The following is a 25,228-nucleotide window of genomic DNA, read 5'->3' on the forward strand; positions in this document are numbered from 1 at the left end:
TAGGAGGTCTTTCTGCTCGGACTGGTGGGAACACAGAGTATTTCCACCCTTCTGTGAATTTCTGAGATTGCTCTGCTTACTTCTCTCTGTGGTTCATTCCCCAGCCTTGGGTCGTTTTCTCACAAGCATGTGCAGATCAGTACTCAGCCAGAGATAAGGGAAGCCCTCTACAGGCCTCCGAAGCACATTTGTGCGTTATCTCCCTCCCCTCCCTCCATCCCTCCTTCTCTTTCTCAGTCTCTTGCTCTCTCACTCTCTAGCTCTTCCTTCTGGAAACCCTTTCCAGGGAATAATCAGGGCACTTGCAGGGTTCACTTTGTTTGTTCTCTTTCCTCAGGATCATTGCCTTGCACCACCTTTTGTCCAATGTCTGAACTGTCGTTTCATCTATTTCACCGGTTTTTAAATGTTAAGGCAGAAATGTAAATCTAGGCCCTGTTACTCCATTGTGACTGAAGGCAGAAGTCTCTCCTTAGTTTTAGGCTCACCATTTTAAGTGCTTACTCTACATTCCCAACTGGATATCACACAGACCCCTCAAACTCAATGCATCCAAACTAACATCTTCTCTCACCAACCTGTCCCTCGTCTTCTATTTCCTATCTCCTGGGGGAAACCCAGCCCCAAATCTTAAAGGCCACTGTGACCTCTTTTTCACCATTCCCTGATATTTAATTAAATAAAATCCTTTCAATTTCATATTCTTTGTTAGGCCCAAATCTGTGCATCTCTTTCTTTTCTCTCTGACCACCAGATTACCTAGGTCCTCACGGTATTTAGTCTAAGTGACTATATAGCAGCCTGCAAACTGCCTCTTTGCCTCCAGCCTATCTTACTCCAAGCCATGGGCCACACTGAAGCCAGAGTCAGTTTTCCAAAGCATAGATAGGATCCTATCATCCCCCACTTAATGTATTTCAGTGGATTCTCTGAAGCAGGGCTGTCCAATTTTTTGGCTTCCTTGGGCCACATTGGAAGAAGAAAAATTGTCTTGGGCCACACATAAAATACACTAGCACTAACGACAGCTGCTTCACTTTTTTAAAATTCGCAAAAAATTTTCATAATATTTTAAGAAAGTTTACAAATTTATGTTGGGCCACACTCAAAGCCATCCTGGGCTACGTGCAGCCTGCAGGCTGCAGGGTGGACAAGCTTGCTCTAAAGCTTTAGCACAGAGCACTGCATTCTTAGTGGAGACAAAAGGCTGTTTACTATCTGGTTCCTGTTATATTCTCCAGCATCGTCTCCTCTCCTGCCTCTCCCCACTGCCAGCTGCACCAGCCCCCCAAACTCATGTACTCTTTTCCATTTCTGGGCTTCACCTGTGACTCCTTCCATATGTAGTGCTCTTCCCTGTCTTCACCTGGTAGACTTCTCACCAGCCTTCAAGACTTGGTATCACCTCCTCCAGGAAGCCTACTCAGATGTCCTCAATCACATGCAGTGCTAAACTCTATCACAAGTCTTAGTAAATTTATATCAATCATGATTCCATCCAAATCTACTACTGGGCTGTGATCTCTCTGAGGGTAAGAACGTATCTTGCTTAGCTCAGTACCCTCAGTGGAAAGCCATGCACAGAATAGGTACTCATTATAAGTGCACTGGATGAAGGAATGGAGGTGTGGAGCCATGGCTGGTGGAAATGAGATCCAAGGCCAGATGCCCTCGAGTGGCCTGGAGTCCCAATAGCAGAAGGGCTCTGTGCAGCAGGGCCTTCCTCCTAGATTCAGGCAATATTGAGCTTGAGGGTTTGTGCTGCCTCCCTGCTCTACTGCACAGGGGCTAGACTTAAGGAACTTGCCATTGCTGCATTTATACCTTTTGTTTCAAAGGGATCCCTGATGAATCATCCAAACCTGCACGGAGCCTGAGCCCCAGGGAGGGTCCTTGGGGTGGCTGGGCCATCTCCTGCATGTGACTTAGAAACTGTGCCACAAAGAGCCTGATGCATCACAGGACATTTTTCTTGAAAAGAGATTTTAGAATAGGATGTGATGAAGGTCTTTGATGACTGTGATGTGCCACCATGCAATATAACTCTGCTAGAAAGGGTCCCATTTGCTCATCCATTTTAATAATTATTTATATCCTTCACTGTCATTTGATTACAAGCACCATGAAGGCAGGGCTGTATCTTTTTTTTTTCATTGTTGTGTCCTCAGCCTACAGTGCATGTACACAGTGAGCACTCAGTAAATAATTTTCAAATGAATAATAATAGCTAACATTTGTTGAGGACTTATACCACACATGAGTCTAGGCCATTTACACACATTAACTCATTTCATAGTCACAGTAACCCTATGAGGTGAGTACTGTTATCATTCTCATTTTGTGGAAGAAAAATTAGACACATAGTGGTTAAGTAAATTGCCTGAGGTCACATAGTTAATAACTGGTGAGGAAAGCTTTCAAAGACTTCATGAATGAATGAATAAGTGAATGAATGTTTTAATTTAGAGTGTCCACAAAAAGGGACTACAATAGATGAAGGTGCTTTTTGTTTTGTTTGTTTTCTTTTTTAGATTTTTTTAATGAGATGAGGTCTTGTTCTGTCACTCAGGCTGGAACATGGTGATGCGATCATGGCTCACTGCAGCCCAGAAGTCCTGGGCTCAAGTGATCCTCCCACCTCAATCTACTGAGGACCTGGAACTGTAGGAATATGCTGCCAGACCCAGCTAAATCTTTGTTTTCTTTTTTGTGGAGACAGGGCCTCATTATGTTGCCCAGGCCAGTCTGGAACTCCTGGTCTCAAGCAATCCTCCCAACTTGGCCTCCTAAAGTGCTGGGATTACAGGCATGAGCCACTATGCCTGGCTGAAAGCTGTATTTTTTAAAACAATCATCAGAGCATCAGACTTTCCATAATTTGGACTATTCATACTCAATATCAATTAATATATTTCTCTATATAATATGTAATGTTGTAATGTTATGTAATTATATGTAAGATTAAATATATGCAATTAAGTATAATATTACATATAGCATATATCATTTGACATTACTGCATGCCAGACTCTGTATTGTTTTACATAAATTATCATATTTAATATTCGTAATTCTGTCAAAGAGATATGAGAATCCCTATGAATTCCCATGGTACAGCTAAAGCTCAAAGTGGTTAACCTCAAACATAGAGAGCTTACTGCAAGGCAGGATTTGAACCCAAGTCTATTTGACTCCATATTCGTGCTCTTACCTGCTTTGCCATCCTCTCTCTTCTGTAGTCGGCCCAAAGCATGGGCTACCTTGTGCTTTCCAAACCCTTGCCCTTCTAGGAAGCTACCAAACCCTATGGCATAGTCTTCATTTCACAGCCTAACCCAAGGGGACTTTCAGTGCCCCAGGCAGGTTTTCCCAACCCCCATCCAGTAGGAAGAGCTGAGGCTTCCACAGCTCAGACCCCATGGTGTGTCATCCTGCTATTTTAGAACTTGAAGGGTGCCGTATTGGAGGCCATCCTAGACCAACTAAATCAGAGTCATTGAGAGTAGGGCCCAAGAATCTGAATTTTAAATAGATCTCCAGGTGATTCTGATGTCCAGGCAGATTTGAGAACCACTGGCCGAGGCCCAGCAAAGAGACAATGCATACCCCTCAGGAAAAGAAGTAGTGGCTTATTGCCCAGGCCACCTTCACAGCACCTTTTAGAACCATGGTGGTATTATGTGGTATATATATATATATATATAGATAGATAGATAGATAGATAGATACACACACACATACATATAAAATAAAATCACATTACTTTTATTGTGTAATTTTATTATGTAATTTTATTATATAACCATAATAACATATGTATGTAATCACTACATATTCATTGTAGTAAATTTGGAATACATAAAACAATATAAGGAAGAAAAATAAGATGACCTATAGTTCCAACACCCAGAGGTAATTCCTACTGACATTTTGATTAATTTTCATCTTTAAATTTTTAATTGAAGTATATATAGTAACATGGAAATACACAAATTATAAGTGGACAGCTTATGATGAATTTGCACAGCTGAACACAGACAGTCATGTTAACACTACCCAGACCAAGAAACACAACATTTGCCAGCCCCCTAGAAGCCCACGTTGAGCCCTTTTCTGATAAATGCACCCTCCCAAAGTAGTGATCCCGACTTTTAACATCATAGATTAATTTTGCCTGTGTTTGACATTTATATAAGTGGGATAATTTATTATCTACTCTTTGAGGCTGGTTTATTTTGTTCAATATTAATTTGCAAGATGCATGTATGTCAGGTATGTAGTTATACGGTAGTTCATTTATTATTGCTGTATAGTATTCAATTGTGTGACTGTTGTAGTTTGTATATGCATTCTACCGTTCATGGACATTTGGAAAGTTTAAAGTATTTGGCAGTTACGAATAGTGCTGCTATAAGCATTCTTGTACATATCTTTTGGTGCATGCGTCTGTGTTTCCATGAGGTGCGTACCTAGGAGTGGAACTGCTGAATCTTATGTTCCATTCTAGTGGATGCTGCCAAAGTTTTCCAGAATTGTTGTACCAGTACACTTTCACCAGCAATATATGAATCCCAGCTGTCCCATATCTCCACCAACACTTGGTCTTTTCTGTCTTTTTATTTTAGCTGTTCTGGTGAGTGTGTTGCATGTGGTCTTGTGGTTTTACTTTACATTTTCCTGGTGAATAATGAAGTTGAGCATCTTTTCATTCATGTATTTCTTTTTAATCTTTTACTTATTCACCCACTCCTGGTAATCCTTAATTCATTTTTTTTAAAAAAGTGAATAAGGCCAAAAAGCTTTCCATAAATAAAACGGCCTGGTTAAAGTACTATTTTATTTTTCCCTTCAGCGAAGTCTGTCATCTTAAAAATAAGTGCCATCTAACTAGAAGATATTAAAGAAAATGTGTTTTCTGCTCTTCTGTCTCTTAGCTCTTTTTTCCTATGCTTTCAATAATCTTTTAACTTTTACTGGTTCCACAATAAAATTGCATCCTTTTGAGGGATGTAATCTTATGAGACAATTGCACACATATTCTCCAAAGAAAGACTAGTAGGACCATTAAAACAGAGGAAAAGCTTAAAGTCAAGGTGAGACAGGAAGCTTTCAAGTAGCTAACGGCCAGGACCAGTTGTTCCACTGGGAACCGTCAGGAGGGGAGCCCGGGGAGTGGAGTAGTGAGCATCTCAGAGTGGATGCTGAAAATGAAGTTGTTTCTTTTATTTGCTTTGTGTTTTGCTCTTTGTTACTGAAAAAAAAATGGGCTTAAATTCTTAGGTGCTACTTTGAAAATGATCTCGGGTGTTACCTGAAAAAAATGTGCAGTATGAGTTTGTTCACAAGTGGCAATTACATATGTTTGTGTGTGCCTATATCCTAATGACATTGTGTAAACTGTTTTGTCATCTAAATTTTTCATGTAACATACTTTCCCATATTGTTAAATATTATCGGGAAAATACTGTTTTTAATGGCTATATAATAGCTCTTTTATGGATTTGTTGAAATTTAATCATTCCTTTATTTTGGTTATTTCCATAATTTCTAAATTCTCAATGATGAATATATTTGTACATAAATCTCTGTACTCTTGTGATCACTTTCTTAGAATAGCTTCAGAGAAATGAAATTAATGGCTCAAAAAGAATGAATCTCTTTAAAGTTCTTTGATACATTCATATTATCACATTTCTTTCCAGAAAGGCTATCAATCCACTCTCTCCGCACAGTATCTGAAGGGCCACCCTCACTGCATATTCGCCAGCTTTGCACTCACTTCAATTACAGTGTCTCTTGCCATATAGAAGACGGTGATTTTTACCTAATAAACTTTTATGGCTTCTGGATTTAGGAACATGCTTAGAAAAGCTCCCCCACTCCCTGCACATGACTAGAAGAATACTCTCTAACATGTTCTACTTAACAGTTTTCTTTTTTGTAATAAACCTTTAATCCTCTGTTATTTGTTTTTGTATGTGATGTGAAATAGGGATATAGCTTTATTTGCCCCAAATGGATAGCAAGTTGATCTCTAAGCCACTTACTAAATAATCCAATGTTTCTTCAGTATTTTGAAAGGCCATCTTTATTGTAAACCAATTTCCTCTATATACATGGTACTATTTCTGTACTGCATTGGTCCATTGGTCATTCTCACGTCGATACCACTGTTTTTGGTACAGTTTCCTAGTACAGATGATTTATTGGAGATTCATAGCACAGTTTGATAACTGGCATGGCAAATGCCTCCTCATTCTTTTACGGTTACAAAATTGTCTTGGCTAACTTGGAAAACTGGCTTATTTCTCCAGATGAATTTTGGAATAAATTTGTCCAGTTGAAAAAAAATTCTGCTGCATTTATGATTAGAATGGGATCACACCTGTCAATTTATTTGACAAAATTGCAGTTCCATACAGGAACAGGGGATGCATCTCCTTTTATCAAGGATGTTAATATAAGTAAAATTTTATAGTTTGTTTTATTATTAATAGAATTGTAGTTTGTTTTCATGTATGTCGAAGGCATTTCTTGTGAAGCTTCCCTAGATAGGTTATTTTTTCTATTGCTTGTGTGAATAGGACCTTTTTTTTTTTTTTTTTTTTTTGAGACGGAGTCTCGCTCTGTCTCCCAGGCTGGAGTGCAGTGGTGCAATCTCGGCTCACTGCAAGCTCTGCCTCCTGGGTTCATGCCATTCTCCTGCCTCAGCCTCTCATGTAGCCGGGACTACAGGTGCCCACCACCACGCCCTGCTAATTTTTTGTTTTTGTATTTTTAGTAGAGATGAGGTTTCACCGTGTTAGCCAGGATGATCTCGATCTCCTGACCTCGTGATCCGGCCACCTTGGCCTCACAAAGTGCTGGGATTACAGGCGTGAGCCACTGTGCCCGGCCGGACCTTTTTAATTATATTTTTAAATTGGATGTTTCTGATATGTAGAAAAGCCATTTATTTACAGGTAGTTATTCTGTATTAATCAATGCCACTGACTTATTTATTAATTCTAATAGTTTTTCAGTTAATTTTCTTAGATTTTGCTAGGTAGACAGTTGGATATGCAAATAATGATCAGTTTATCTTCTTTTCTAATAATTATGTGAAAAAATAAATTATTGCATTGGCTAGAACTTATAAAACAATGCTTAGTTATATTCTTTATCCTGTCAACTATACTTCTGTTCCTAGTTTACTAATAAATTTCTTTTAACCAAAAATGAGTGCTGAGTTTTATCCAAGACCTCTTTGGTATCTGTTAAAACTTACGACATTTATCATTAGGCTTATTAATGTGATGTATTAGATTAATAGGGTTACTCATATATAAACCATCTTTCCATTTCCGGAAATGGAATGAGCTCTATATGGTGCATGTTACATTTTTCATTCAACTTACTTCTAGGTTTGATTTGTTAATCTTTTATTGAGAATGCTAAATATATTTTTAATAAGTAAGGCTATTAAGTATTGGAGTTTTAGGTTTCTGGGGAGTTAGATTTTTATATCAGGGTTTGATTAACCTTGCAGAATTAGTTGGTTGCATCTCATCTTTTTTTATGTATTGCTGAGTGATTCCTCTAACTCAATAATTGTCTGTTTTTATTTATTTATCTTTATTTATTAATTTATCTATTTATTTTGAGACAGAGTCTCGCTCTGTCGCCCAGGCTGGAGTGCAGTTGCACGATCTCGGCTCACTGCAAGCTCCGCCTCCTGAGTTCACGCCATTCTCCTGCCTCAGTCTCCGGAGTAGCTGGGACTACCGGCGCCCGCCACGACGCCCGGCGAATTTTTTTGTATTTTTAATAGAGACGGGGTTTCACCGTGTTAGCCAGGATGGTCTCGATCTCCTGACCTCGCGATCCGCCTGCCTTGGCCTCCCAAAGTGCTGGGATTACAGGCGTGAGCCACCGTGCCCGGCCAATAATTGTCGTTTTTAAAAGTTTGAAATACTTGGCCGGGCGCAGTGGCTCACGCCTGTAATCCCAGCACTTTGGGAGGCCAAGGCAGGCAGATCAAGAGGTCAGGAGATCGAGACCATCCTGGCTAACACGGTGAAACCCCGTCTCTACTAAAAATACAAAAATATTAGCCAGACGTGGTGGCGGGCCCTGTAGTCCCAGCTACTCGGGAGGCTGAGGCAGGAGAATGGTGTGAACCCGGGAGGCGGAGCTTGCAGTGAGCCGAGATCTCACCACTGTACTCCAGCCGGGGCGACAGAGCGAGACTCTGTCTCAAAAAGAAAAAAAAGTTTGAAATACTTGTCCCAAAATTCATCTTGGTCTGGCACCTTTCTTGTCTGGAGCTGTTTAGCAACATTTCCAGTTTCTTCTATGGTTATTAATCTAATCAACTTTTCTACTTCTTTTTAAGTTTAGAGATTTATATTTTCTAGAAAGTTCATTGTGTTGAGATTTTTAATTTATTAGTCTAGAAATATAGTAAGATTCAGATGTGTACAGTCTCATCTGTATCTTTGATTACAGCCCTTTCTTAAGGGTTTGATTCTTTTATGGTCCTCTGACTTTCCACATGCCCCTCCTTGGGCCTGGCAGGGGCAAGGGCTGGAGAGAGAGAGAGAGAGAGAGACAGAGAGAGAGCACAAGTGGGAGTAGGGAACAGTTGTGGGCCCATGTCCATTTCCATCAATTGGAATGGATATGTGTGAGCCTGTAGACATGTCCTCACCTGCATGCCATGTCATCTCCCAGCCCGAATGTCTGTTGTGGCATATCTATGCATACACCTTGATGTGTGTCCTGGCATATGTATGTGTGTATGTGTTCCTCCATATATGTGTCAGCATGCATGCACACATGGTCTCTGCAGCCATGGAGATTTCCACTTTGTGTGAATATTGTGTACATGTTCCTGTGTGTACTGTACCTGTGTTCATACATGTGCATGGGTGTATGTTCCTGTGTTACTGTCACTGGGAGGCACATGGCACATCTGGCTAAAGGGATGGTAGAGTAGCTCAGCACAGCCTTGGTGCTTACATGGCTTATTCTCTGCCATTTTAAACAATCTCTCAAAGGGCCAGAAGGTGAAGAGGAGGTGGGCTTGGGCAAGATGGGGTGTGGAGGCTGGCCCGTCCTAGAGTCACTCTGTCATGACTAACCCAAGTCTGGAGCCCAGGCCTAGATGCTCAGCCTGTGTCCCCTGGAAACCCCCTCAGCTAGACAGAGAGGAGAGGGTTTACTGTAACTCATCAGTCAGGGCAGCTGTCTGCTGTTGCCATGGAAATCTGAAGGCAGCATCTTCTGCAAGGACCAGGATGTAGAGTCTAGAGAGGACAGGCTGCATCAGCCTGGTGGGATCAGTCTGGAGTGGCCTGTGTGTGTGCGTGTGTGAGAGAGAGAGAGGTGGGAGGAGAATGCAAGATAGTGAGTGAGCTTTCTGAAGTGGGTGGCGCATACCTCACCATTGCTCTCTAAGGCCTCAGCCATTACTCTGGATTATCGCTGGGTGGCGCTGTAAGAAGGGGTGTACCCCTGAGATGGCTTCCCTGTGCCCATCAGGACCCGGTCTGGCCTGAGGCTGCTCTTAGAGTGTCCTGGGACCACCTAGACAGATGTGCTGGCATCTGCCCATCATGGGCCCCAGAGCCCACCCAGCATCTGCTGCACACTGGCTCCTCCTTGCTCAGATGATGGGGTGGTCCAGGAGGCAGGCCCTTACCCTGGCCGCACAGATGCTGGGTGATGGGAGCAGACAGACAGAGGCCCCTCACCCCAGGACTCAGCTCTGCTGCTGATGGGCTGGGGGTGGGGGCAAGGACAGGGCAAGAGTACAGGATGATGACTGGGGGACAGGATAGAGTCCAACCTTCAGGTGGAGCTGAGGGCTGGGACAGCCAATGACAGTGTGTGCCTCTGCCACCGCCTCAGTCTGGCAAGGCATAGGAAAGGAGCACCCCCTTGGAGTCCTGACAGCACCTGTGGAGTTGGAAGCAGGAGCCCTGGCCTCCCTGCTCACCTTCCCACTAGCCCCTTCGCTCAGGGCCCTGTGACTTCTGATCCCTCCCTGTGACAGGGGAGCCTGGGCTCAGCGTTCACTGCAGCCTGGGCAAGGCCCTTAAGCCCCCAAGAGTCCCGCTCTCACAGGGCATGGGAGGAGCTTCCAGAAGCAGATGGGTGTCCTTGTTTGGGTTGGGGGTGCTGGGGAGAGCAGGAAGGAGCTGGCTGCTGGAGCCGCCTGAGGCTGGATCTGGAGGACACAGAGGTGTTTAGCCAACAGTTCTGTCCTATCCCTTCTCAGCTCTCTGAAGTCCTCCCTGCACCTCAAGCCAGGGCCTGACCTCCAGGGAAGCAAGCTGTCACCACGAGGAAGTGCACCCTAGCTTTCCCACCTCGTGCTACCAGGATGCCCCTCACTCTCCTTAATCCAGGGCATGGGCTCAGAGGGCTGGCTGGGGTCTCCTGTCCTGGAATGTGCGGCCATATGGGAATGCCTTGAGTGTGTGAGGGCCATATGGGAATGCCTGTGCGTGGGGGTGGCATGAGTGTGTGCTGTGAGGTGTGAGTTTGGAGAGAAGTATAAATAAATGATGGGCACATGTGTGTGGTGCGCATGCTTGTGCTGACAGGGGAAGGCAGGGGGACGTCTGGAGTGTCAGTGGGTTGTGGTGGGCAGGGTGAGGCATCCATTTCTGTGAAATGCCTGGGGGGAGGGAAAAGGTATTTGGCACAGTACATGTGGGTACAAAGCACACGAAGGAATTTTGGGTACATATGCGCATGGGAGCCTTTGTGGGGTGTGGTTTGGGTATGCAGGTAGGCTGTGTGTGAGGTAGAGCTGGAGGAAAATCTATCTGTGGAGTGTCTGAGGTGATGTGTGGGAGGCAGCTGTCTACAGGTGAGCTTGTCTCTGAGTGGTATATGGGGTGACATGTTGTTGTGTGTGATGTGGTTTGGGAGGGTGAGGGGTGTGCAGGCATGTCCCCAAAACAAGCACATGGTGTGTCTCAAGTAAGGTGTGGGGGCAGTGATGGGAACGAACTACAGTATGTAGGCCAAGTGTGTGGGGGAAGGGCAAGTGGGCGTTTCATTCTCTCCACACGTCACGAGTTAGGAGGCACCATTTTCCCCCTCAAAGTTGAGGAAACTGAGGCCCACAGAGTGGAAACAAGCTGGCTGGATCACACAGCAGGGTCTGTTAGACTCTCAGGATCCCAGCTCTGGCAGCTCACAAGCTAGGCTCTGGAGGGCTGGGGAGGGGACTGGCCCTCTGGGTAATGGCAGTAATGGAGGGTCCCATTCAGTTCTTTAGGGTGACTCTCCTGGAACTGGCCCACAGACAGCTCATGAGAATCGATTGCGCAATAAAGGAAAATGTTTGTAAGCCCTTTGCTCAACATAGCTGTTATTAAGCATCAAACTGGCCGGGCACAGTTACTCGCGCCTGTAATCCCAGTGTTCCTGGACCAAACCGAGGGTCAGCTGCTTATTCTCAAGGCCCAGTAACGAGATGCAGATGAACTGGGAGAGAGGGGAGTTTTTATTTCTGTAACCGGTCACAGGGAGAAGGCCTGGAAATTATTGCCAGACCAACTCAAAATTACAAAGTTTTCCAGAGCTTATATATCTTCTAAACTATATGTCTATGTGTAAGTGTGCATTCGTCTAAAGACATAAGTGATTAACTTCTTTTAATCTATAACTAAGATTCGAGTCCTGAAGACCTTCCTCTGGGGCCTCAGTAAATTTACTTAATCTAGATGGGTCCAGGTGCCAGGGGTAATTACCCTCCTTATCTTGTCCCCTGCGAAGTCACGGAGGTTTGGGGAGTTCCTTCAGCCCTCCAATAAAACTTATTTGTGGAGGCCTGGGGAGTTTCTTCAGACCCCCAATAAAACTTGTTTAACCTTAAACGAGGCCTGTTAAGAATTCCTTCATTATTTTGTCATGCTTTAAGGCCCAGGAAAGGCCTAGGCAAAACTCTTGGTGGGCTTTTGTTACATCCCAGCCTTTGTATAAGGGCACTGGTTCTGTCAGCTTTTAATATTTGACTTAACCACTCAGTCAGTACTGAAACAGTTGTTATGGAGGCCTGTGTTAGTGATGCCTGGCCTGCCGCACCAGCACTTTGGGAGGCCGAGGCAGGAGGATTGCTTGAGGCCAGGAGTTCGAGACCAGCCTGGGCAACATGGTGAGACCCCCATCTCTACAAAAAAATACAAAAATTAGCCAGGCATGGTGGTACATGCCTGTAGTCCCAGCTACTCAGGAGGCTGAGGTGGGAGGATCACTTGAGCCTAGGAGGTCAAGGCCACAGTGAGCCGAGATCACACCACTGCACTCCAGCCTGGGCTACAGAGCAAGATCCTCTCTCTCAAAAATTAAAAAAAAAAAAAAAAAGAAGCGGTATAAATTTAACATTAAACAAGTTATGTTTACAAAGGTAATATACTGAAAACTCACCACTTCGTATTCATTTTACTGCCTTTCCCTGCGCTTGTCTGTTGTGTCTGCGGGGTGGAACTGCCACGTGACCGTGCACTGCTGAGCATCTCCTCGCACTTCGATGCTCAGTCACATCACAGATTGGCCATGGCGAGGGTGGCTAGACCAGGGGAGTCAACAGGTGCTGCACATTAAGACCTGGTTTATTGTTTTGTTGATTGTCTAGACCTGAGAAAGTGATGGGAAAAAATACTACTAATGCAGATTACATTTTAAAGGGTGTCATGTTTATAGTTGCTCCATGGTGAATAGCAGAAAACAAAGATTTTTCCAGTATTCAGAAACTATTAACCTATTCAGCAAAGAAGTCACTCCGACCACCAGTGAAGGAGTGAAGTTCTGACATGTCTTTGTTGTTTCACTTTCAACTTACTTGTTAACATAAATGAAAATATCAAGCAGCATTAAGCTGGAACTACAGTAATTTGTCATTGCAACCGTAGGTTGGCTACAGATAAAGAGTTAGGCGAAACTCATTGAATGGGTTGATTTCTGGGACAGTCATCTGGCTATATGGAATTTACAATAAAGAATATTGGATATTTCATTAGTATTTGTAAATTATGTGCTATACATCCTTTGTGTCAGTAAAATTTATAATAAACTTATTGAGTCTACGCATGCAGACATTTTCTGGAGAGCTTGTTGTTAAATGTCACTGTTAACACCCCGTAGGCCCTCCATTACACATAGTCCCAACATGTCTCCTTACTGTGCAGACGGTGAGGTAGGGTGGGGTGGAGGGACAGATGTAACTTGCAGAGACCCTGGGAGCAGTGTCTTAGGTTTCCAGACAAGCTGTGGCTTGTCACTAGATCAGCCTGACCTCCTCCTGGCCGGGGGCACTGGGGCTCAGGTGGGGGTCCCGTTCATTGGTCCCTTCTCTGTAGCAGGCTCAGGGATTTACAGGTCAGAGGAAGAAGACGTGGTCACTGCCTGTATGGAGCTCACAGCCCAGCAGAGGAGACATCCAGTCGCAGTTAGTTACACCCTGGAGAGTACAGGGGCAAAAAAAGAAGAAATTGCCCAGCTGAGGCAGGAGCGAGGCTGGGACAAGAGGAGCTGCTCAGCGGAACAGTGCCTCTCGACATTTAGTGTGCAGCATCCACAGATTTGTGTTAAAAATGCGGAGATTCTCTTTTGGCAGGTCTGGGCAGGGTGGTGCCCGGGAGTATGCTAGGGGATGGTGAAGCAGGTACCCAAGGGCACACTGGGAAAAGCCTTGATCTGAGGAGACGAGAGGGTGTGTGCTGAGGCAGGAGATGAGAAAGAAGTTCTGCGGGGAGATCTGCCGGGAGTTTAGGAGTGGCTGGAGCTAAGCCAGCCTGGAGGGGAGACAGCAGAGCAAGGCAGGAGAGGGGTCAGGGGGCAGGTCCTGCAGCCTCGTAAGCCTCATGGAAGAGCTTGGTTTGTATCCTTTGGAACGAGGAGCAGTGGAAAGAGCCTTGTCAGCAGACAAGTGACATGCTCGGGTTGGCTTTTAAAAGTGTAATGTTCCTGGAGCAGGCAGAACTGCAGTCAAGGAGACCAGAAGGAGGCTGGGGACATGTGAGGCCTCGATCCGGGCAGAGGCACTGGGGACAGGGGAGGGGACCGATAGGAGGGCTTCATGGGTGGAGCCACAGGCGAGATGAGGAGGGTTAGGGTGGGGCCTGGGTTTCTGGGGTGATGACTGAGCGAATGGCAGGACTATGCACATTGCCAGAAAACAGGAGGAAGAGCAGGTCTGGAGTAAGGTGAGTTGCTTTGAACCTGGAGACTTAGAGGTATCCCTGGAGGGGCCCAGAGGCATTTGGGGCTCAGGGGAGCCATCAGGAAGTAGATTTGGGAGCCCCATGGATAGGTGGGAAAGCCAAGAGAGTGAAGAGGTCACCTGCGGAGAACACAGTCACAAGGGTCCAGAACTAGTGCTGAAGGGCCAAGAACTCAGGCCTGCCTGGACCTTGTTTCTGGAAGGGGTGCCAGATGCCAGGTCCCTCCGTACAGGAAAACCAGAGAGTGGGCAGGAGAAGGTTGGAGGAGGTCAGAACCATGGGTCGGGTTGCTGGCCACCTCTGACTTAGGAGTTGGAGGCCACAGTGGTTAGGAGTCATGGGGCCTCAGTTCTAGCTCCAGCCCTGGCTCTGCTACCAACTTGCTGTGTGACCTTTGGCAGATCTCTACCCACTCTGGGCCTCAGCTTCTTCATCTGAAAATAAGAAAGCTGGACCATACCAGTGATTTTCAAATGACATTTGGAGCCCCAGGGTCACCCAGAAGCATCTCCAGGAAGCAGGAGTTGAGGGTGATGGGGAGGGAGAGACTGAGAGTGTGGAAATCTAGTCCCACCCTGTCCCCAGCTTCATCCAGAGCCACTTGCATTTATGTTTTCTGTTAGCCTCTTCATGAAAGGATGTTTTCCAACTGATAACTACTGGGCCAGAGGATCCCTTATACTGTTGTACGTATTTGGGGTCTGTGAATCCTTGCCAACATAGAAGCTGATGGAGTCTGAGGAATGACACACACTGAGAAAACCAAGCATCATCATTACAGACACTGTGTGAACTCCCTGCCTGCCACCCACACAGCACAGTCATGGTTATGTCCATGCTTATGTAGGCCTGGGCTCTGCCTAGCTGCGGGTGATTTCATCAGTGGATGCCGCTCAGTTTGCCCCTGCCTGCTGGCTGGCTCGTCCCCAGCCCCAGGCATCAGGGTGCCCCATGGTGGGGCCTGTGTGGCCCTGGCCCTTCTCTGCTGCCCCAGGGCTGTGAAGCCACAGGTCGGCCCCCTCGTTCCTTGATGCTCTCTGTCCATTGTCTCTACAAATACAAAGAGAGTCTCTGAACAGGACAAAGCACATTTCCTCCTTCCTTGGGCCTGGCATCAGCGACGATGCCACCTGTGTGGGGGAGGACTCAGTGGGTAGTGTCCTGGCTTCCCTTCAGCCCCACAGAGCTTCCCTCAAACCTTGCTGACAGCTGGGCGCTCTCAGTAAACTGAGGCAAGCCTGGGCCTAGACCAGTGTGTGGGGGCGTGTGCTGTGGGCAGGGAGGATGAGAGAGCTGGCCTCAGGATGGGGGTGGAAACACCCTGCGGTGCCTCTACAGGGAAAACCAGGTCCTTCAAGTCTGTGTGACCTCAGATCCCAAATAAGTCAATGCCGGCCTCCCCTCCCCGTCCCTCAGAGCAGGGCCTAGGAGTTGGGGAGGGGCAGCTTTGCACACCCCTTGCCCTGGGATCCTGGGGTGCAAGAGTAGGACGAGGACAGTCGGCTCAGAGGGGACAGAGATCTTGCTAGTTTGCTCTGTGCCCCTTTAGCCCACACTCATGTCCCTGCATACACTGGACCCTCCTATTGCCTGGAAGTTGTCCTGCCTCCTGCCGCTGCCCCTACCCGCTAAGAGATCCAGATCCCCAAATAAAGCCACACTGGACCCCAGGATCCCAGGCTTGGAGACAGTGCTTTTGGGGAACTCCAAGGTCCCCCAGCTCTCTTGCTACTTCAGGAACAGTTTGGAGGGGGGCCCAGTAGAAGTGACCCCCTCCCTGTCACCTACTCAACATCCCAGATAGGGCTCAGAAAGTTGCTCCAAAACTCCTGGGAAGAGACCCCACCCCTGGAGTTCCTTCCTGCTCCTCCTCCTCTGTTCTCGCTCCCCCAGGACTATGGAGGCTTCAGCCCGTTCTCACTCGGCAGGGTGGTTGGTGGGGCAGGGTGACGACTCTCGGTGTTTCCTGACAACAGGCTGGGGGACTCAAGCGCCAATGTGAAGCTGAAGAGCGTCCTGGAGACAGGGGGCGGTGAGACGGAGTCTGCCCAGGCCACACCAGTGGCCGGGGTTTGGACCTGGGCCTGGGGAGGGTCGCTGTTTGAGAGGAGGACGCAGCTTTATAAAATGACTCCGTAAGTATGGCCTGGGCAGGTGGGGGCCGCGGGCCCCCACTGCCCCACCTGGGACCACGGGCATGGACCAAGAGCTCCTGCAGCAGGAGACCCTGCCACAGGACGTGGGGAACCAGAAAGCTTGGGAGGTTGCAGTCCTGGGGAGATACACATGCTTGGGCTGAGGCGGAGGCTGGCTCTTGGCCTCTAGGGATCTAGGGAGCCAGGCGCTGTCAGGGGCCTGTGGAGGGCTCTCCCAGATGCTCTAGGCTACTGGGCAGGGCCTTCCTCTGAAGGTTTGTGTGCGTGTGTGTGTGTGTGTGTGTGTGTACACATGAGGGGTTGCAGTTTCTACCATGGCTGCTGGCTCATGATAAGAGCCTTTTGAACCCAAGACCCCAGGAAGGCAGGCTCACAACCTTCTTTCTTAGGCATCAAAGGCTCTAGAACAGTGGTTTGCATCATGAGAAGCCCTAGGAATATTTTTAAAATGCACATTCCCAGGCTCTGCCCACAGGGACTCTAGGGCAGGGCCCAGGAATCTTTATTTTAGAAAGCTCCCTGGGTGATTCTGACAGGCTGCAGCTGGGGGAGGAAACCACTGCTCTTGGCGGACACCTACCCGGGGCCAGGAAGCCCAGGCTCTGCCTACAGGGCCACCTTAGACACTCAGACGTTGTCTCTGGAAGGTGTTCAGGTCATCTGCACTCTCGTGGGAAGGAGAGGCCGACATACTCTTCGGTAACCTTTTCCTGAGGCACAGGAGAAAGCATGGAGCACAGAGTGGGCCCCAGAGGAAGGAAGGCTCAGGAAGGGGTGCGACAGAGCATCAGGGCCAGGGACTGCCCCATCACAGTGTCTGGGCCTGCTGAGGCCGGGGACCCTCACATCTGTCTCAGGGCCCAGCGCCTCCGGTCCACAGCAGCCCCTGTCCAGCCACGTGTGTGAGCCCAGGTCCTCCTGCATAGACACGAGGAAAGAGAGATGAGATGTCAGAAAGGACTCCCTGGAGATGAGCGCACACAAGGACAGTTATGAAATCTCCTCCACGGAGTTCCTTGTGAGCATTTTAAATGTCTTCTTAAAAAAGAATTCAGTTAATTCAAAATGACCTTTAGAAAAAGAAAGTAAAATAAATGACCTTTAAAACCCTCATAATTGACATGAAGTTTACTGACTTAACTGAATTAACATGAAGGCAGCATGAAGTAGCCGACTGCACGTTTGCTTCCATGGTTGAAGCTGGAGTCAGGCCATCTGATTCGGTTTATTTCCCGTCTTGCCGGCCCAAGGATGCACATTCATTTTGCCCCAGACTGCACATGTCCACACCTCCTGGCTGTAAAGCATCCGGGAGTGTTCACTCGACCCAGTTTGCTTTAGTCAATCCCCAAGTGCTGAACCTTTGGGCTCCTTCCAATTTCTTGCTATTATAAATATCATGGCTATGAATATCTCTGTACAAATTACTTTCTTAGTATTTTACTGGGAGGCATTCCCCAAGTGGAACTACTAGGTTAAAGGGCATGAACAATTTTATAGTTCTTGTCACATATTACTAGATGGTTCTCCAGAAATATTGAGCCCGTTTACTGTGACACCAATTATGTATAGCTGTCCCCACAGCCCTCCAGTATAAAGGTTCATCATTTTTATTTATTTATAGCTGTTTTATTTACTTTCTTTTTTCTCATTTTGCGATTTTGGTCAGGAGTGGTGTGGCGAGTTGTTTTAATGCCGTTGTTTCAATGATTGGTGACATTGGACATTCTCTGAAGGACTTTGAGAACCTCATAGGCGTCATTTGTCCCACAGGGATATGGCAGGATCGGTTCTGAGTCTAAGAGCTGGATCAGGACTGGAAAATGGATAGCTCTGAGTTTTCAGACTTACTCAGTTCTCAGTCTCCCACCAATAGGCCAGAATGTACGTCAGGGCCATAGTTTCCAAAGCTCTGAGGCTGAACGATGAATATGGTTTTAAAACAGCATCACTTGCCCCAGGGAGAAGACTGAGATGAAGGGGAGAAGGAGAACCCGTGGCCCCATGCTTGTCCCCACCTTGATGGACTGTGCCTGAGCTCCACTGGACAGGCTGCACAGCCTCTTACCCCAGATGTGACCTTCTGGGTACACAGATTACCATGTTATGCTTGTGGCTGTGGCCATAGGGATAAACCAAATTTGGGGCTTGTAGTACACTTGCCTGTTGATCCTAATGAGCATCCAGGAGCTGCACCAAGAGTTTACCCAGTACCTGTAAAACCAGGGCTCTGATGGTGGCTAGAGAGGCCTGGCTGGGTAAGATCAGTAACATTTGCTGGGGTCTGGGCCCTCATGTCTTGGCTGAGGTCTAAGCATGGGGAGTTGTGGAAAAGGAGACTGTTAGGGAACTTTGACGTAAGTGGGGTCGAAGACTGTGGCCTTCAGATAATGACAGGGGCCTCCTCAGTGATACCAGGAACTCAAGGCAGAGACAGTGAGGGTCAGGGGCATGAAACCCAGTGATAGAAACTAGGTGCCATGGCTGTTGCAGACAGGGCCACAGGGCCTCCTGGGATCTCAGAGCAAAGAGGCCAGATGATGAGGACAGTAAGTCAGGGCAGACATGGCTGGTGGGGCAGGAGGAACTAGCATAGGATTTGAAGTCAGCAATTTAAATCGTGGTATCAAAGGACTCCGCAAACTTGGGAACAAATAAGCAGTTATGGATACTCAAAGATATTGTTGGTAGGAGCAGAAGAGTGATTTGTGCAACCAAAGGAGGTCTTGGAGTCCCAGGGGCCTCTCCATGTTGAAGCAGGATGCTAGGGGATGAGAGGACACAGGGCCAATGTATAATATAGGTAGCAAGGCCCAGCCTCTTGGAGGAGAATTGGTGGAAGCTGGCTGGGGGATCATCACTCCAGACTACACCTGGACTTGGGAAGGACCCTGTCTACAGAGGCCAAGCCAGGATCATGACCATCAGGCTAAGGAGGAAGTGTGCATGTTGCTGGGGTAGCAGGTGTCTTGGGCCCACTAAGGTCCTCCAGGCTTTGGGAAGGAAGCAGACTCCCTTTCCCTCTCATTCCTGGCCTGCTCCCCATGGGGCCAGGGCATTGGTGGTGCTGGAGCGGGTGGTAATGGACAGAGGAGACATGGTGTGTGCCCCAGGTTCAACAATGGGAGTGACACAGAGTTAAGAAGTGGTTTCGTGTGAGTCTTAGATTCAGGTAGACCTATACCTTACTGTGTGACCTCAGTTCTTGAGCCTCACTTTCTTTTCTCTAAAATGGGGATAGTCGTACCTGCCTTATAGGGCAGTCAAGAAGATTGAATGAGAAAATAATACATGACAGCACTCAGCAAGAATAGTTGTTAACAAATGTCAGTTTCTTTCCATTTGCCTCTTTTAGTACCTAGAGCAGAGTTGAGTGTATCTGTGGGCCCAAATAGGCCTCCACTCTAGACGAGGTGGAGGGTAAAGGAAGGGGCAGCATGCCCTCTGGTAAGCCTAGGAGCAGAGCTGGAAGAGCAGCTCTGCTTCAGGGTTTATCTGACCCAAGGGTAATGATGAATTTGGTGACGTGGAATAGTTAAAGTCTGGCAAGTTTCTGAGCCTCGATTTCCTTATCTGAAAAATAAGTTGTGTGTGGCCTTGTGACAGTGCATGGAAAGCCCCTAGCACCACTCCTGCACATAGTAGGAGGTCCACACATACATGACAGTGTGGATTCTGTGGTTGCAGACACTCCTCTTGCCCTCAGAGTCATATCGCGGTGAAGCGTTTCTCTCTGTGAGCTCAGAGTCCAGCCTGGGATTGGTCAGACATGAAATAGGTTGTGCATGGTGGTCAGTGCTTGGGCGGTGGCTAATCATGTCACCCCAGAGTTGGCCGAGGAGGAAGGGGCCCGGGGGGAGGCTGCCCTGAGGCTGTGGGGGCTCCAAGGGTACTGCCAGGGGAAGAATGGGCACTCTGCAGTTCTCTCCTCTAGCCCAGGGTGTTCTGAGAGTGTCCAGAACCAACAGGTCTGCTCAGACGCTGGACATGAGGTTCCACTTGGCACACAGCATGACAGCCTTTTCCCCTGCAGGAGCGTTACCAGAGGCAGGCAGGCAGCATGGAGGTGAAGGGAATTGGAAGGGCCTGGCATGAGTCAGGAATGAGTGAGGATGGGGGCGAAAGCAACTCCGTGCAGTCCAGAGGGAGCTGGCTCTGGGTTCAGCCCCTGTACAGCTCCACAGCCTGTGCCCTGACCCGGATCCCAGTCCCAGCCAGTTACTGTGCACAGGGGACTAAGTGATGAACCTCGTTCTCTGGAGGCAGCAGGGCTGTACAGAGGGTCCAGACAACCTGGAGAGAGAGAGGCTGAAGCTGCCTCAGACTTCCCTGGGCAGCCACCCTGCTTGGGGCAACACCGCTCAGCAGCTAGAGGAGTTCAGGGTTCTGAATCCCAATCTGTCGCCTGCGAGCTGGAGACCTGGGGCAAGCCTAGCCTGTCTGACTCCTCCTGCCCTCTTCAGAGCTCACGTCTAGGAGAGGTGTAATAACTGCGGGTGTTTGACGACTTCAGCACTGGTTATGGAAGCAGGTTGAAGAGTTGTGACGAGACCTGCATGAACAGCCTACCAGGCGTGCAGCCCCTGCACTTTGCAAATGACCTCTAGTCCTTGTCACCCTGGGACAACCCTGGATCTTTCTGGACCTGCCTGAATCCTCTGGATAACCTTTGCAGCCCATTACCTCCCCCAAATGCACACACATTCACACACACAGCCATCACCGTGTACAGATGGAGCTCCTTCCTCTCAGTAAGTTTCTGACCTCCATCCTGCCCCTCCCGCTCCAGGCAGCTCCACTCCCGGCTCCTGATCTGCTCCCATTCCTCCACCGTCTGGCCTCACCAAATACTGGTCTGTGAATGGCCTCACTCCGTAAGTCTGACGCCAATGAGGTCCAGCTTCTCCAGCTCATTCTTCTGGCTCCCCACCTCCTCCAGCAAGATTTAAAAATACTGCGCATATGAGAGCCGGCACAGGGCATTGTTGCTCCCCGTTTCCTTTCTTGCTGAGTCAGGGTCTAGGAGAGCACCCACAGGGAGTCCTGCAGCCCCAGGTTTGGCCCCTGGCTCTGCTCCTCATGAGGTGTGTGAACTCAGCCAGTTGTTTTACCTTTTGAGACCTGCTTCCTGATCTATAAACTGGAAATAATAATAGTACCTTCCCTCCAGGCTGTCGTAAAGATTAAATGGGACCCTATATGCTGTTAGCATGGTGCCTGGCACAGGGTAAGCATTTAATAAATGTTAGCTACTGTTATTATTTTGTGCCTAACAAAATACTTAGAGTGAATGACAGGAAAAATTCTCCTCATGTATTCACCCGACAAATATTTATTAAACTCCTGTTTTCTTCCAGGCACTGTACTAGGCACTGGGGATACAGCAGGGAGCAAAACAGTGAAAACCCCTGTCCTCAAGGAGCTTCTATGCTGGATTCCACAGCCACACACTCAAGTCTTTGTTGTCAGCCCTCCTCTCCCTTAGTCTGCACCCTCCCCTGAGCCTCTGCCTCAGCCTCCTCCCGGGCTCAGGATTCCCTGAATTTCCCTCTCCTCACACATCCTGTCTCTAAGCTCCAGATGCGCTTTTCCAGTCACTTGCAATGGGGTGACCTGCAGACGCTCAAACCTGGCACATCTGAATAGTAACTCACAATGCCCAACCCCTTCTCAAACCTGCTATTCCCACTGGGTTCCCTGAGGAGCCACTGTCCAGACCCCTCTTCCTCCAACATGCAGCTCTTCTATCGCCATCGCCACCATGAATAGAGCACTTAGTGCAGGCACCATGCTAAAAGCTTTTATTTATTAAATCATGGAATCCCCTGACGTCCCTAAAAACCATTCCACTTGTTTGCAGATAAGAAAACCGAGGCGGAAATCGTTAAACAGCCTTAGGTTACACAGTTAGGCAGAGCCCGGACAAAGAGCCCAGGCTGTCTGGCCTCAGTTGTGCTTTTCCTGCCGCTGTGCTGTCCTGCCTCGGGTCCCATGGGCTTGCCTCAGCTGTACCACTGACCTCAGGCCCCTCCTGGGCCGCATCTAGCTCTGCCCTGGGCTATTGAAGAGCCTGCTCACTGGTATCTCTAATTCCCTCTGGCTTCACCACAGACCCTGCTGCCAGGGCTGCCTATGATCCCCTCCCTTACAGGCGGGATCACTTCCCCAGCACCACCACACCCCTGCACCCCTGCAATTTTCCATTGTTTACAGGCAGCCTGGCCCTGTTCCAGACCAACTTCCCCAGTCCCATATAACCTCTCCAAGACCCTTCTTCTCCCTACTCATTCCCCACGTGTTACAGCCAGGCAGGCCGTCCACCCCAATGCTTTCCTAACTCCCGTGGCTTCCTCACCCCGTCTACCTTTACTGAGCTCTGTATCCTTTAATACCCAGCCTCAAAGGCCGTCTCTGCTGCAAAGCCCTGCCTGGTTCCCTGTCAGACTCCTCTGGCTCTCTCTGCTGTGCCCCCACGGGTCTTCACCTCTGGCTGGGTTGACTTCATACCACCTGGGATTATTGTTTGTTATCTGTGTCCATCTGTGTCCTCCAGTAACCCATGATCTTCACAGGCCAGTGCCCTGTGTTAGTCATCTCTGGGTCCCCGTGACTGACGGGGCTGGGTGCAGTGCGAGCCTCAGTACTGAAATGAACAGGGCCGGCCTACGAGGTCACTCCGCGATTTGGGGCAGGAAAGATCTGAGTTTCTTTCTGCACTCCCGTCGAGTCCTGCTGTAGAAACCACAAATGGGGAATGATCGTTGAATCCCAGAAGACTGAGCAGGAAGGGCCGCTGCAGGTCATCTGTGTTAATTCTTTATCTTTGAAATGTTGGAGTGAGGCCCAGAAATGAGAAAGACCTAGCCCACGATCACTCCACAGGGAGGAGTTGTGGTTGGAATTCAGACCCCTGGCTTCTAGCCCAGTGTGCTTTCTGCTTTGCTGAACCATTCCATCTTTGCTTTTTCTCTACACAAACCACCTACTACAATAACAACAATTGCTTATGCTGAAAATCAGCCCAGTCTCATAGCTCTGGAACCTCTCTTTGTCCCCTTCCAGATAACCACAGGACACTTTATTTTACACTTTTGTCATAATGATTTTACACTCTCATTTTTAAATTTAGTATTCTTTGTATTCTTTCGGGGGGGGGGGGTAATTAACCCTAAATTCTTGTAGAGAAATTAAGTTCTTAGAGTAGATTTCTGGGTTGCTTGTTTTCTTCCATTGACGTTTCACATGACATTCCTGTCCACCGTCACACTGCTTCAGTTGTTGCAGATGTGTATTTTCCTATCTAATGGGATTGGTGCTCCTCTCATTAGCCGTCATCAGAAATGTCTTTTATTTTCCTATCTAATGGGATTGGCGCTCCTCTCATTAGCCGTCATCGGAAATGTCTTTGCTTTTCTTACCTGTTTTGTTTGTTTTTGTTTTTTGCTGTTGTTTTTTTTTCCTTCCAGATAATCTATACCTGGGTTATCTAGAGGAATTAGGGGCAGACGAGTAGCTTATCCCAGTCTGCCCTAATCATGGGCATCCACACAGGTCAGCTGAATTGGCCACTCTTAATTCATGGCTCTGAAAATGGTAAAAACGGCCATTGATTGAGAGAAACAGGCAAAAAAGAGAGTAGTGGGGGCACCAATGCCCTGACTACCCCAAACTCTCACTGCTGCCCACTAATCTGCCATCCTGGGATGTGGGGCAGGATGGCCGCACCGTGTGGGCATGCTCTCACGGGAAAATGGAGGTGGTGTTGCTGATCGACACTAGCCAGCGAGGCAACATGGCCACACTGGCTTTCTTATCACAGAGCCCACGTTCACAAACCATCTTGGGGCTCGCCCTCCTTTCCTTAAATCATCACCACAGGGAAGCATAAAAAAATCTCTGTACATTATCAAGTTTCAGAATCCCCTTGGAATTTTGCTTTGAACTAAATGAAGTCTCATTTAGGAAGAATGACTGTCTTTAAAACAGTCTTCCTATCATATAGAAATACATTAGGAATCTCCATTTCTTCAAGTTCTTTTTATAAATCTCAGTTGCATTTTATAATCTTCTTTATATGAATCACAAATCAGTCTCATTGGTATTATTTTAAAACTTTTCATATGTAGTCTTGTACCACTGTAAATGAGATCTTTTTCATTCTCATTTTGCAAATGATAATTTTTTTATAGAAATGTTCTTGGCTATTTTTCCATCTTTTTATCTGGCAACTTTACTCAACTTTCTGATTCTGGGGGTTTTCTTGTTGATTCCCTTACATTTTCTCAGGTCCAGTACAGTAATCATGTGCAATAATATAAACCATGAGTCCTTTCTAACATAGTAGACTAATAACTGTTCATCAATGCCCCCCTCAGGAACTTTAAAGAAATACAAGTAGTTGGGCCCTCCTCGGTCCCCACTGAACCATAACTTCAGTCTCAGCCATAGGGCTTTGGCTTGCGGGGCAGGGATGGGAAGTGGATTCCAGACCCAAAAGTCTGCAAAGGTGGAGAAAGCCTGGCTTCTCTAAAAGCATACCAGTATAGCTACAGACCAGAAACTTCATTGCTTTGTAGGAACTTTTTAAAATTTTGGTCTGTGAGCAAGGGAAGTGAGTGAAGGATTTGAAGCAGCAGGTGCAAGGATAGATTTGCATTATGAAAAAATCACTCTCACTGCCATGTGAGAACAGACTGCAGGGGGGCTGGAGGGAAAGGGGGTGCAGATCATTATGTAACCACAGCTAACTCTTACCGCCTGTTTTAAGTGGTTTATATATATTAACTATTAAGTCCCCAGGACAGCCCAAGGCATACAGGTGGTTCATGGCAGAGCACATTTGAATTGTTCCTA

The 25,228-nt window shown here is 47.4% G+C and overlaps 1 protein-coding gene and 1 long non-coding RNA gene across 7 annotated transcripts in view; both read left to right on the forward strand.

Moving 5' to 3' along the window:
* TUB (TUB bipartite transcription factor) overlaps positions 1 to 25,228 on the forward strand; it is an 86,999-nt gene that overhangs the window by 26,633 nt on the left and 35,138 nt on the right. The window lies entirely within an intron of this gene.
* Positions 14,161 to 23,496, forward strand: TUB-AS1 (TUB antisense RNA 1). 2 transcript variants are annotated; one of them, NR_120537.1, is made up of 4 exons: positions 14,161 to 14,201; positions 16,196 to 16,354; positions 21,546 to 21,602; positions 21,733 to 23,496. It is a non-coding gene; the product is annotated as a TUB antisense RNA 1 (long non-coding RNA). The 2 variants fall into 2 exon arrangements; NR_120538.1 differs by lacking the exon at positions 21,546 to 21,602.

This window comes from Homo sapiens, chromosome 11, assembly GCF_000001405.40.
Source record: "Homo sapiens chromosome 11, GRCh38.p14 Primary Assembly".
Taxonomy (NCBI): Eukaryota; Metazoa; Chordata; class Mammalia; order Primates; family Hominidae; genus Homo; species Homo sapiens.